Source organism: Homo sapiens, chromosome 15 (genome assembly GCF_000001405.40).
Source record: "Homo sapiens chromosome 15, GRCh38.p14 Primary Assembly".
In the NCBI taxonomy this organism is placed as follows: Eukaryota; Metazoa; Chordata; class Mammalia; order Primates; family Hominidae; genus Homo; species Homo sapiens.
This window is the reverse complement of record NC_000015.10, coordinates 27,712,834-27,726,351: the sequence shown is the minus strand read 5'-3', so window position 1 is coordinate 27,726,351 and position 13,518 is coordinate 27,712,834. Positions and strand designations below refer to the sequence as shown.

At 42.2% G+C, this 13,518-nt stretch overlaps 1 protein-coding gene across 8 annotated transcripts in view, besides 1 other annotated feature; it reads left to right on the top strand.

The window, feature by feature from the left end:
- The window catches only part of OCA2 (OCA2 melanosomal transmembrane protein), a 380,308-nt gene extending 372,964 nt beyond the window's left edge, over positions 1-7,344 (top strand). For all 8 annotated transcript variants that reach the window (XM_047432619.1, XM_047432618.1, XM_047432609.1 and 5 more), the window contains one exon: positions 7,024-7,344. In XM_047432619.1, the coding sequence (XP_047288575.1) occupies positions 7,024-7,075 (52 nt within the window). In that variant the 3' untranslated portion in view covers positions 7,076-7,344. The remainder of the gene's footprint in view (positions 1-7,023) is intronic.
- Positions 11,450-12,649: an enhancer, noted in NCBI's record as "BRD4-independent group 4 enhancer chr15:27958849-27960048 (GRCh37/hg19 assembly coordinates)". NCBI's record gives its function as "activates an origin of replication core promoter dependent on BRD2, P300/CBP, MED14 and CDK7 cofactors, and independent of BRD4, by STARR-seq in HCT116 cells {active_cell/tissue: HCT116}" and the evidence as "EXISTENCE:reporter gene assay evidence [ECO:0000049][PMID:35650434]".

Here is a 13,518-nt window from a genome sequence, read left to right as displayed (position 1 = left end):
AAACTATTTTTATTTATTTATTTATTTATTTATTTATTTATTTATTTATTTTTTGAGCTGGAGTCTCGCTCTGTCGCCCAGGCTAGAGTGTAGTGGCATGATCTTGGCTCACTGCAACCTCTGCCTCTCAGATTAGAGCGATTCTCCTGCCTCAGCCTCCCGAGTAGCTGGGACTACAGGCGTGTGCCACCACGCCCAGCTATTTTTTTGTATTTTTGGTATAGACAGGGTTTCACCATGTTGGCCAGGCTGGTCTCAATCTCCTGCCCTCAGGTGATCCACCCGCCTTAGGCTCCCAAAGTGCTGGGATTACAGGCATGAGCCACTGTGCCCAGCCAACTATTTATTATCTGGTAGTTATGATCTAGTATCTTATTACAGCAAGAGTTTGCAGACGCCAGCTCTAGAGAGGGCACAGCTGACAGATGCTGGCAGCTTCTGCCAATGTGTGCATTCCACGCACCCAGCTTAACCAGAAGGCTGCATGAACTTTTTTTGAGAACTCAACCCACTCTTTTTAAGAAAGCAAGGAAAAAAGCTGACCCTCTTCAAATAAAAGACAAACAGTGCCTACCCTCTCCTGGCCCCAAAACCTAAGAGAAGGAAGACCCTGCAGGCAGAAGCTCCAGACACCCTGGAGGGAGAGCTCCATTGTTCTCTCTTCCCAAGTGAAAAGTAAGGGCCTTTAAAGAAGCTTCAGAACCTCCCTGATCTGTCCTATTTGTACTTTGCTCCCGTGTTGAGAAACGTAGGTTTTTTTGTTTGTTTTGTTTGTTTTTGTTTGTCACGGAGTCTCACTCTTGTTGCCCAGGCTGGAGTGCAGTGGCACAACCTTGGCCCACTACAACCTCCACCTCCTGGGTTCAAGCAATTCTCCTGCCTCAGCCTCCTGAGTAGCTGGGATTATAGGCACCCACCATCATGCTCAGCTAATTTTTGTAGAGAGGGGGTTTCACCATGTTGGCCAGGCTGATCTTGAACTCCTGACCTCAGGTGATCCACCCACCTTGGCCTCCCAAAGTGCTGGGATTATAGGCGTGAGCCACCATGCCCGGTCAAGGAAGGTAGGTCTTGGCCTACAGTCTATGTCCTGCAGTGATGCCAAATGCCCATGTTGGCGTGTGGTCCAGTAAAGCAATAGACAGGCACTAGTAAAAGTTTAGCTGTTGGCTCCTGTATGTGTGGCCCTTCGAGGAATCACCTTCCGCGGTGCTCCTCTGTCTCCCACTGCCCACTCTGCGGTTGAGCACTTACCTCTGGTGCCTGGTATTTGGACTGTTCTCCCTTTCCTGATCCCTGATCTTGCACTTCAACTCTGCTTCAGAGCAGAGTTGAATTGGCTGAAAGCAAGAGCATAAGTCACTGCTACTTACCTCAACCAAGAGAACATATGACTTTTTCACAGAACTCTAGGCAGAGACATCCTGGATTTGAGGACCACTTCTTTCACTAGTCACTCCTGGATAACACTGAGTTCCTGATTGACTTTATCCAAGCGGCAGTTTTCTCATATGTAAATTGGGGTAAAAAAAAAAAAGCGTCTCTCACAGAATTGTGCTTTTTCTTGGGAGGCAGGAAAGAATCAGGTATGTAATATTTCTAAACAATAAACAAGCAAAAAGTTTTCTCTTCCTTGCAGTCACTGTAAGACTAGGGCCCTAAAGCAGTCAGGGTTCCGGACTCTGATGGAGGTTTCTAGAAGCACAGGGCAGCTGGGAGGGTACTGTGCAGTAATACTGCCAGCAACATTCGCATGAAGCCCCTGGGGTCAGGGGCCTGCTGAGGATGAGCTGTGTCCCTTCAAAAAAGAAATGTTGAAGTCCTAACCCCCAGGACCTCACAAAGGGACAGTATTTGGAGATAGGGTCTTAAAAGGGGCAATCAGTTAAAATGAAGTCATTAGAGTGGCCCTGCATCCAACAGGACTGGGTCCTTATACCAAGGGGAAGTGTGGACACAGAGACCGATGTGCACAGAGGGGTGATGATTAAGGCCACCAGGAGTGCCTCACCTACAAGCCAGGGGCAAAAGGGAGAGGCCCGGGGCTAACTCTCCCTCACAGCCCGGGTAGGAACCACCTCTGCCGACACCCTGATCTCAGCCTTCCAGCCTCCAGAATTGTGAGACAATAAAAGTCGGCTGTATGACTCCCCCAGTCTGCAGTATCTTGTTACAGCAGCCCTGGCAGACAGACACCTGCACATTTAAAACATGACCCATGCTGAGGCAGATAGAGCCCTCTAGAAAGCCTTTGGCCACCTCTGCCTGTGATTCCAGCTGCAATATCCCCAGAGATCATCCAAGTCACGTGGTTCATGATGCCTAGTTACAGCAGCCCCAGGAAATGAACACAGGGTCCCACTGGGACATAGGAGCTGACGGCAGGGCTGCTGGGAAGAGGCAAGCGTTGAAGAGGAGGCATTGTGAGGAGGAGGTTGTGCACGCAGAAGGGAGCTGTGTGAGGCTGTGTCCTGGTTTTGGTTATAAACATGCAATTTCCCATATTCTGCACCTGAGATGTCCCTTCTAGACCAAGGCTTTCAGAATTTACTGTGAACAAGCACCTCAAGATTCTATTGCATCCAAAATGTTGACAAGACTGGACTCAGGTTTAGTCGCTGTGACAGGATTTCTGGACTAATGAGGGAGGGGACTATCTACTCACCAAGGATGGGCGGAGGCAAAGAGGAAAATGTGAATGAGAGATTGAAGCCGCCCAGGAAGTCAGCTACGCCCCTCTTGCTCCTCCCTGGGTGCCCATCTCTGACCTGCCCCCAGGTCGGTTCTTCACACTGATTCCCTCTTCTCTGCCTTCTTGGTGGTGGTGGGGGTGCCCTTCTGTCTCTCGGTCAGGTCAGAGTGATGTGGCCTCTCCTGCACTCCTGGGCAGGTTTAGCATCTGTGAGGATGTGGTTTGTGGGGCACTGATTATGATTTCTAAGAGGACGAAAGGAGACCTTGGACTCACACAGCAGTGCTCATAGCACGTGTGTTTGTGCGTGCACACGTCATTTGTTAGCCATTTATTAAATAAATATTAATTGCACTCCTACTATGCTCCAGGCATTATTCTACGCAAGGTGGAAACAATAGGGAAAAAAAAGTTCCTGCTCTTTGAAGTGGGGGGGCAGAGGAGGATAGACCATTATAAAAACACATGTAGGCATAATATTTTAGGTGCTCATAAGGGCTGTGAAATATAAAACAGGGGCCAGGCGCGGTGGCTTATGCTTGTAATCCCAACACTTTGGGAGGGTGAGGCGGGCGGATCACCTGAGGTCAGTAGTTTGAGACCAGCCTGGCCAACATGGTGAAACCCCATCTCTACTAAAAATACAAAAAATTAGCCAGGCATGGTGGTGCATGCCTGTAGTCCCAGCTACTCGGGAGGCTGAGGCAGGAGAATCGCTTGAGTCAGGCAAGTGGAGGTTGCAAAGAGTCAAGATCACGCCACTGGACTCCAGCCTGGGCAACAGAGAGAGACTCAGCCAAAGAAAGAAAGAAAGAGAGAAAGAGAGAAAGAGAGAGAGAGAGAGAAAGAGAGAGAGAAAGAGAGAGAGAGAGAGAGAGAAAGAAAGAAAAGAAAGAAAGGAAGGAAAGAAGAAGAAAGAAGAAAGAAAGAAAGAAGAAAGAGAGAAAGAAAGGAAGGAAGAGAAAGAGAGAGAAAGAAAGAAAGAAAAGAAAGGAAAGAAAGAGAGAAAAGAAGGAAGGAAGGAAAGGAAGGAAGGGAGGAAGGAAGGGAAAGAAGGAAAGAAATATAAAACAGGTTAAGGAGATAAAAGGTGATAGAGAGGGAGTGGGGACATCACAGTTAGGATCCTGTGGGTTTCCCATAAATACTAAAAGAAATGTAAGCAAGTATTAGATGGCCACTGCTACACTGAACCAGATTGCCCATACCTGCCTTGGGTGCAGGAGAGAGGCACACAGCCACAAGGCTGCCAGGTGTGCAGAAGGAAAAGGCGATCTGGCATTTTGGTAACCTCCACTCAGTCATGAAAACCTTGGCACGTGATCTCTGACTGAGCAGTTCAAATCCAAGAACTGATACTGAGAAAATGCCCCCGGATATTTGCAAAGACTGATGTGCTAGGGTATTCACAGTCTCTTTATTTACCACAGAAAAATAGAATACACGACCCGGTCTAAGCGTAGAGGCCAGTACGGCGGATACAGCAGATGCTTTCACTGAACGGCACACATTCTTGCATCCCTACTGAGTTTCAGTAACTACTTGATTCATGGAATTAAATACTCCACAATTATGCTGAATAAGTTCATTTAATGACATGGGCAAATGTCCACGCAGCATTAAGTTGAAAGGGCTGGTGAAATTATTATAGCACAGATCTTGCAATAGATACAAATGTGTCTCCATCAATTTTAGAAGAAATATCAGTTGCAGAGACACAGAGGTCATCTCTTGGATTTTTAAAAAGTGGGTGTGTAGATAGAAGGATATTTTCTTCTTGTCACTTTTTCCCCCACCATATTTTCTCTAAAGAACACATTACCTTTTTGATGAAAATATAAAAACAAAAAAGATTCTATGGCTTTAAACAAGAGAGTAAGAATTTTATAAATAAATAAAATTTTTGTCATTTCCACTTACAGATCTGTGTAAATTACAAAAGAATACCACACAAACATAAACCATGTTTGTTTGGGACTAATGCAACTTGAATTTATAGTTGAGGAATGTGATAATTGTCCTTTGAAAATACTGATTATACTTTAATTTCTATCCAGTTTTCACAAATCACTTTATTACGTGAAGGTAGTAAAGGAGTAGTATTTAACTTTCATTACAGTGAAGTGCAGCTGTTGATGATTAAAAAGCAAAACAATTTTCTTCTATGATATAATTCTATTTTTAATGTTACTCATTAAAATAATATTGTTCACTTTTCCTCCTGAGTTTTCTGTAGTGTCACGTATAATGTGATGTATTAAAAGTGCAAATTACATAATTTTCTTGTGGAGGGGTGCAGGATCTCACTCTGTCACCCAGGTTGAAATGCAGTGACACAATCATGGCTCACTGCAACCTCTGCCTCCTGGGCTCGAGCAATCCTCTTACCTCAGCCTCCCAAAGTGCTGGGATTACAGGCCTGAGCACCGCACCTGGCTGCAAATTACGTTATTTGTTAATAAATGGATTTGAAATCAGAAAATTCTTTAAAGAAGCGAAATTTAAAACTAAATAAAAACTCTCTGAAGTTCCCAGAATCAACTAACAAAGAGCACAACACAAGTATTTAAAGTATTAAAGCCAGTCAGTAACCATAAAGGTAGCCGCGCAGTGCCAAGTGTCACTAGAATGCATGCCAGCTGCTGAGGACAGCAGGTGAAATGTGGCTTCCAGCTCCGTCCTGCTCATCATGTTCATGAACTCACGCAGGAGCTTCCCAGGGGCTTTGAAGGGACTCAGCCTCAGGATTCGCATGCTCCTTTCTTTGGGAAGTAAATATGGTATGTACAGGTTGCTTGTCAGAGGTGATATGGTGAGTAAGAGTGTACTTCTTTTACAATTCTATTGAGGTACTATTGCTGTATAATAAACTCATGTATGCACAGTATACCATTTGGTCAATTGTGACATGTGTGTACACCTGTGAAATGTCACCATCGTCAAGATAGCAAACAGGTCTGTCAGCCCCCAAAGCTTCCTTGTGTCCTCAGGCAACCAACCACTGGTCTAATTTTGCCACCAGAATTTTATATTAATAAAATGATAAGTATGCATTCATTTTTTGCTCAGCCTAGTGGTTTTGAGATCCATCTATGTTTATATATATGTATATATATAAAAACATACATATGTAGATGAATATATTTATACAGCTTCTTCATAGATGAATCTATACATAAACATATAAAAATGCATATATATATAAACAGATGAATTTCAAAATTACTAGGCTGAGCAAAAAATAAATGCATATATATAACATAATATATAAACATATATATTATATATATATTTCTGTGACGCTTGTTTGTTCTGCCTTATTTCTCCCCCGATTGCTAAGTCCCTCCCTGTCTCCCACCCCTGTTCTTTCTCTCTCCCCTAAGTAGTATTCTAATGAATGGATAGATCACAATTTGCTTATTCATTCACTCTTAATGGACGTTTGGATTTTTATCTTGTTTCAGACTATTACAAAGGAGGATGCGATGGAATGCATATTTGTGTGCACTATGGTTTGAATGTTTGTCCCCCCATCAAGTCATGTTAAAACCTAATCTTCATTGTGGCAATACTTAATACTTTAATTACCTAACTGTGCTTTTTGTTGGTTGATTCTGGGATCCTCAGAGAGTTTAAATTTTGTTAAGATGAAATGCAGAGGGTGGGAAATCTATACCAGTATGTGAGAGGGGAAGGTTTGGGAGAGAATCAGATTAGATGGGGCCATGAAGGTGGGGCATTAGCAGCTTTATAGGAGGAGAAAGAGAGACATGAGTGACATGGTCAGTCCTCTTGTCCTGTGATGCCTCCTGCCACATCATGATGCAGCACAGGGCCCCTCACCAGGAGCTGAGCAGATGGGGCCACCCAATCTTGCACTTCCTATCCTCCAGAACTGTGAGCCAAAATAAACCTCTTATCCTAATAAATTACTCACTTTGTGGTATTAAGTTATAGCAATGCAAAATGGACTAAGACAGTGTGGATATGTTTCCGTTTGAGTAAATACCAAGCAATAGAATGATCAGGCTATGGAAACAGATATAGTGCATGTCTAACTTTTTAAGATATTGCTAAACTGTTTTCAAATTATTGTACATTCCCTGCAGCATATATGTGTGTATGAGTGTGCCTACATGTACGTGCATGTATGTGTGGATATATGTGTTATGCACTGAATTGTGGTCCCCCCCGCAAGTTCGTATGTTGAAACCCTAGCCCCCAGTGGGAAAGCATTTAGGTATCTGGAGCTAGAACCTTTAAAAAGGTAACTGAGGTTAAATGAGGGTTAAGTGTAGAGTCCTAATTAAATACGACTGGTGTCCTTTTAGGAAGAGAGAGAGAGAGACCAGGGATGTACTCGCACAGAGAAAAGCCCTATGAGGACGTGGCAAGAAGGACTGCAAGGCAAGGAAGGAAGACCTAGGAGAAACCAACCCTGAAGACATCTTCATCCTGGACTTCCAGCATGTTCAAGATCTCAGACTTGAACTCAGTGTTCTCAAGGACATTCCAGTGGGTGTCTATTGCTTGTCTGCTTGAGCAGTAGTATAGGAATTAGCCCTCTAGTTAAATCCCAACATGCTGTGAACCCTTGCTCATGTCAGAAGTTGGGGCTGGGCCAATACAATACAATGTGAATGACAATACAATACAATGTGAATGCAGTACAATGCAATACAATGTGAATGACACACACTCTTTGGTGAGGGGGATAACCCCATACTCATGCATTTATAATGTGATTGGAAGGGGGAGAATCTCTCCCTTTTGGTCATGTTATTTCCTATAAGGACTGTTAGAAAATACCTATTATGAGGCACTTTCTGTCTAGTGGTCCAGGCATCTTCTGGAATGAGTGATTTTCTTTGCCACCTGCCTATAAGAAGGTGCCCTTCCCACCACCTCTAGTTGGTATCACCTGACCCATGACTGGGGTGTTGGGCAGAGACAAGGGGTGGGAGCAGTGAGGAGTGAATCTGCAGATAGAATGATTTTCTTCCAGGAGAGGGAGGAGGATGGGAAATAACCAAGAATTCCAGTTGCTGCGAGAGGGCTCATGTCTGTTTAGTCTAAGGAATATGTTATCCTGTTTGACTCATGAGGTAGTAATACATCATTGATCATTGATCAGTTTAAATCCTCTCTCTAGAAGAAAGGTGCACCTTGGCTTCTCTGTTGTCATTTTGCACTACGGAGCCAGTACACTCACACAAGTGTTGGCCAGATGAGGCCTCTTCCTAGCAGGCCTGGAGCCATGGCGAGGCTGCAGGGATGACCAGGGTAAACCTGCACAGAGCAGAGCAGTGATTCCACTGCAAACCTGAATGACGCACATCGCTGTACCTCCTGCTGTCAGGAATTTAACTGCTGTCAGTGACAGATCACTAACTTTTGACCTTTGCTTGCCATGTTCTTGGGGTCATCCCATAACAATCTATATTTCCCAATTGTTTCCATCCTACTTTTGGTTGGCCTCACAGGCTCAGCTAACTACGGATTAACTGCCACATGTAATAACTCAATACCCCTTCACTCAACATTGACTAAGCATTTTCTGTGTAATTGCTAGCCATTGTCCTGTTTCCCAGAAAATAGCTAGTTTTTACCCTCAAAGTTGAGTGGAAAAAGACAAGATATCCTCTAGCCCCATCCTTATCAGCAAAGCTGATAATGTCTACCCCAATGAAGGTCATCTGTCACAGTTAGTGATTGATGTGGGGTAGAATGTCAATGTCTACCCTGATGAAGGTCATCCATCACAGTTACTGATTGATGTGGTGCCATCCTTTATTTTGGTGGCATCCTTCTTCTAGGCCTAGCTGTCTGGGAATGAGGCATGAGCCTACCATAACATCAGACAGTCTTTGTTCACAGATGAGGAAACAATCCCCATAAGGTCAGAGCACATGTTCAAAAATGGAAAGCTTTTTAAATGTCCAGGAGCAACTTGTTAACACTATATGGTTTTTTGCTTGTTTTAAAGATGATATTTTAACTGAGTGAAAGTAAAAATGCCATATACTAAAGTATGTGGGATGCAGCTAAAGCAGTGCTGAGAGGGAAATATATAGCACTAAAAGGCTACATTAGAAAACAGAAAACATTTCAAATCAATGGTCCAAATTCCAACTTTGAGAAATTAGAAAAAGAAGAGCAAAAAAATTCAAAGCATGCAGAAGGAAATAAATAATAGATATCAGGGCAAATATCAATAAAATAAAAAATAGAAAGATGGTATAAAAATAGAAAGATGGTAGAGGAAATCAATAAAACAAAAACGAAATCTAGTCTCCAAAACAGATCAATAACATTGATAAACTTTTAGCGAGATTGACAAAGATAAAAAGATGACGCAAATCACAAGTATCAGGAATTAAAGCAGAGCTAGCTCTACAGATCCTGCAGCAATCCAGATGGTGATACAGGAATGCCATGAACAACCTTCATTCATAAATTCAACAACTTTAAGGAAGTGAGTCAGTTCTTTGAAACGCAAAAATTACCCAAAAATCAAACAACATGAAATAGAAATTTGAAAAACCTATAAATTTGTAATTAAAAGGCTCTTAAAAAGGAAATCACCAGGCCCAGATGATTTCACTGGCAAATTCTGCCAAATATTTAATGAATACTGAACACCAGCTGTCCACAGTCTTTTCAAGAAAGTAGAAGAGGAGGGAATACTTTGCAACCACATTACAAGGCCAGTATTTGCATAATACCAAAACTAGATAAAAACAGTACAGGAAAACTATAGACTGATATTTCTATAAATTTAAACACAAAAACACTCAAAAAAGATTAGCAAATAGAATGTAGCAATATAAAGAATTATACTCCATGACCAAATGGAATTTATTATAGGGATGAAAAGTGAATTAGTTCAATATTTAAAATTAATCAGTGTAGTCTCCTATACCAACAGCCTAAAGAAGAAAAGTAATATCAATTAATATTGAAATAAAATCAATTGATGCAGAAAAATGCAACACCCAGTCATGATAAAAATCAGCAAAGTAGTAATGGAAGAGAATGGCCTCAACTTCATAAAGAGACTCTACAAAAAGTCTGCAGTTAACACTCAATGTGACAAGACTGAATGGCTTCCTCCTAAGATCAAAAACAAAGCAAGGTGTCTGCTATCATCACTCTTATTCAACATAGTACTGAACGTTCTGGGCAGTGAAATAAGTCAAGAAAAAAACACTTCATGCAGATTGGAAAGGAAAAAATTAAACTGTCCTTATTTGCAAATGACATGAGGGTCTGTAGAAAAATCCCAATCTACAAAAACAAACACATAAACAAACGATGAACCTCTTCAAACTAATAAGTAAGCTTAACGAGGCTGTAGGATTTAAGAGGAACGAAAAGCTTAATTGCATTTTTATATGCTAATATATAGAAACTGAGATTAATAATATATTACCATTTAAAGTTGCTCCAAAGAAAATTATGTACTCAGGTATAAATCTAACAAACACGTGCAGAATCTGTATGTTGAAACTTGAAAAATTGATGGTGAAAGATATCAAATATCACTTAAATGAATGGAGAGACATGTTACCATGGAGATGGAGAAGAAGGGTGGAGGATGGAAGGGAGGGTATGGCTAAAAACGAGCACGAGGAAACCCTGTGGGCATGGCCTAGCTCTGTGACATGACCATTGTGATGGTTACACAACTCTATGCATGGGATTAAACTCACATAGAGTAAGTTATACACACACACGAGTGCACACAACGCTAGTGAAATACAAATTAGATCTGTGGATTGTATTACTGTCAAAGTCTAGGTTTCAATATTGCACTGTAGTCATAAGATTTGCCCTGGGAAAATGGAGTAAAAGATTCCCGGGCATTTCTGTATTATTTTTGCAACTTCCTCTTAATCTATAATTTCAAAATAAAACGTTAAAAATATTAAACCTGCGTGTATCAGTACAGAGAGGGGAACACAGACAAAGGTAATACAATGGAAAGTTTGGAAGCAGGCCTATGGATAATGCCAATCAGCAACAGGGCAGTGCTGCCACTGTACGTTGACATTCAACAAATGACGCTGCAATAGTCGATTCCTCGCTGGGACTCAAAAGGAAACGGCATCCTGACCTCATGCCTTAGAGAAAAATTAACCTCACATAGACCCAGTGGATAAAACCAAAATGTTACTTTGATAATCCTTTTTAATCTCTCTTTTCATTAAATACCAGAGAAAAAGTTGTTTGCTTTTCCTGGCTGTTCATGTAAACAAGGCAAGAAACCAAGTTCGAATTTGGTCCTGTGTATCGTCAGGTTTCTTTTACATTGTCTGCTTTCTATTGTGTACCTAAACTAATTTGGATTAAGCTACATGTAACAGAGACCCACAATTTCACAAGTTAGACAAGATAGCAGCTTTGTGTTTCACGCATTGGTGCAGAGGTACCTCACCCTCGGCTGCTGTGGTGTCTTGTCCACTGCTAACATGTTTCCATCTAGCTTCCTTATATGCCAGCCTTAAGGCGGCTTTCTGCAATGCCCATATTCCAACCACAAAGGAGAAGAGAAATGACCAACATGGGATCGCCTTCCTTTTCTCTATCGATATGACTCATCCCATTGGTTGGAATTTAGTCAACGAACTCACCAAACTGCAACGGATTCTGGGAAACAGTCAATACAATGCTTGGTGTGCACCACTAAAAATCGGGAATTCTAACGCTGTGAAACTGAAAAAGCTGGGCAGGGTTAACTGGCAGTCAACCACCCAGCAACAGGAATGCACAGCGCACCCAAGTGGTCAGGTTTGCTGGGCTCATTCCACGTTCAGTAATAAAACCTGCCAGGGCACAGTGACCACCACCAGGTCGACTTGGAGTGTCAACGCATTGTCCTTTTGCATCCATCTGTTTTTTATTAGAACAGTGGGTTTCAAGACGTTGGTTCCCAATTTCAGCTATACCAGCGTTTAAACATTCTTAAAGATATAAATATTGAGTATCTCTTTTTTCCCTGCCCCCGGTATGCTGAATAAGAAAGTCTAGCCGTGGGCCTGGAACTGGTTCCTTGCGGAGGGTTCTTGGGTTCACAGACTTCAAGAACGAAGCCACGAACCCTCGCAGTGAGTGTTGCGGTTCTTAAAAATGGTGTGTCAGTCGTTTGTTCCTTTCACATGTGTCCGGAATTTCTTCCTTCTGGTGGGTTCGTGGTCTTGCTTACTTCGGAAGTGAAGCCGCAGACCCTGGCCGTGTTACAGCTCCTAAGGGTGGCGGGTCCGGAGTTGTTCATTTTTCCCGGTGAGTTTGTTGTCTCTCTGACGTTAGGAATGAAGCCACAGACCTTTGCCGTGTTACAGCTCCTAAAAGTGTCACGTCCAGAGTTCGCTTCTCTCGAGGAGTTCGTGGTCTTCCTGATTTAGGAGTGAAGCCGCAGACTCTCCCAGTGTTACAGCTTTTAACGGAAATCCGAACCCAAAAAGTGAGAAGCAAGAAGATCTACTGTGAAAAGGAAAATAAGAAAGATTCCACATTCCGGAAAAAGGATTCGAGCAAGTTGCGTTGCAGCCCAGGTGGCCTTTTATTCCCTTATTTGGCCCCGCCCACATCCTGCTGATTGGTCCATTTTACAGAGTGCTGATTGGTCCATTTTACAGAGTGCTGATTGGTCCGTTTTTGCAGAGTGTTGATTGGTGCATTTACAAACTTTTAGCTAGACACAGAGCGCTGATTGGTGTGTTTACAATCCTTTAGCTAGACAAAAAAGTTCTCCAAGTCCCCCTGACCCAGAAGCCCAGCCAGCTTCACCTCTAAGTGGTGGGGCTAGAGTTTCTCCAAATCCTCCAGATGATTCTAATTTAAGCTAAAATTTGAGATCCACTATAATTACAAAGTAAATCATGAAGGAAAGTGTTAGGGGAAAAAGAGATTTAGGTTTGTAGGAATTATGTAGTGGAATTCTTAAAAAGTATAGAAAATTTAAATGTGATTAAATGTGATTCTAAAAGCAATAAACGAGATTTTTTGAAGAGACTGGATGTGAGCAATTGAAAAAAATTGTTTATCACTGCTTACTGGGTTATCTGTATTCTCGTGAACCTGTGACATCCAGAGGTGGCAAAGCCATGTCCATACTGTTGTTTTCAGTCTCCATAGCACACAGCACATTGCCTGGCATGCAGCAGGCACACAATAATGTGCTAGATGAGTGGATGAAAGAGGAGAACAGAAAGTACATTTTTGTGTCTTTATCAGGGAGACAATCATCATTGTGTGGCCATGAATTTTAAGCATTAGTAAGTCTAAGAAGGAAAAATATCTGTGCTTAAGCTTTTATTTTATAGCAATGGTGACAGGTTTTATATTTAAACATATATAGTACAAGCAGTTGCCCAAAAGTTTGATTGCTTGTCCTACTGAAAATATGTGCATTATTTTTTTTATTGCTGCCTGAATTTTAGTGGCTTATACAATGCAAATTTGTTTTCTTAAAGTTAACGTGGATTAGAAGTCCAACACTGGCTGCTCCAGGCTAAAACCAAGGTGTTGACAGAGCTGCCTTCCTTTCGGGAGATCTAGGGAAGAATCCATTTCCTTGCTTATTCAGGTTGCTAGCAAAATTCAGATTCCTGTGGTTGTAGGGTTTAGATTCAAGTTTGCATGTTGACTGAGAGTTGGGGCCATTGCCAGCTTTAAAGGTTCCCTGCTTTCCTTGGCTCATGGCCCCTCCTCCATCTTTATAGCCAGCACCAGCAGGCTGCCTCCTCTTCCCCGTTACATCTTACCTTGACCACTGCTGAGAAAGACTCTCGCCTTCTAAGGACACATATGATTAATTGGGCCCA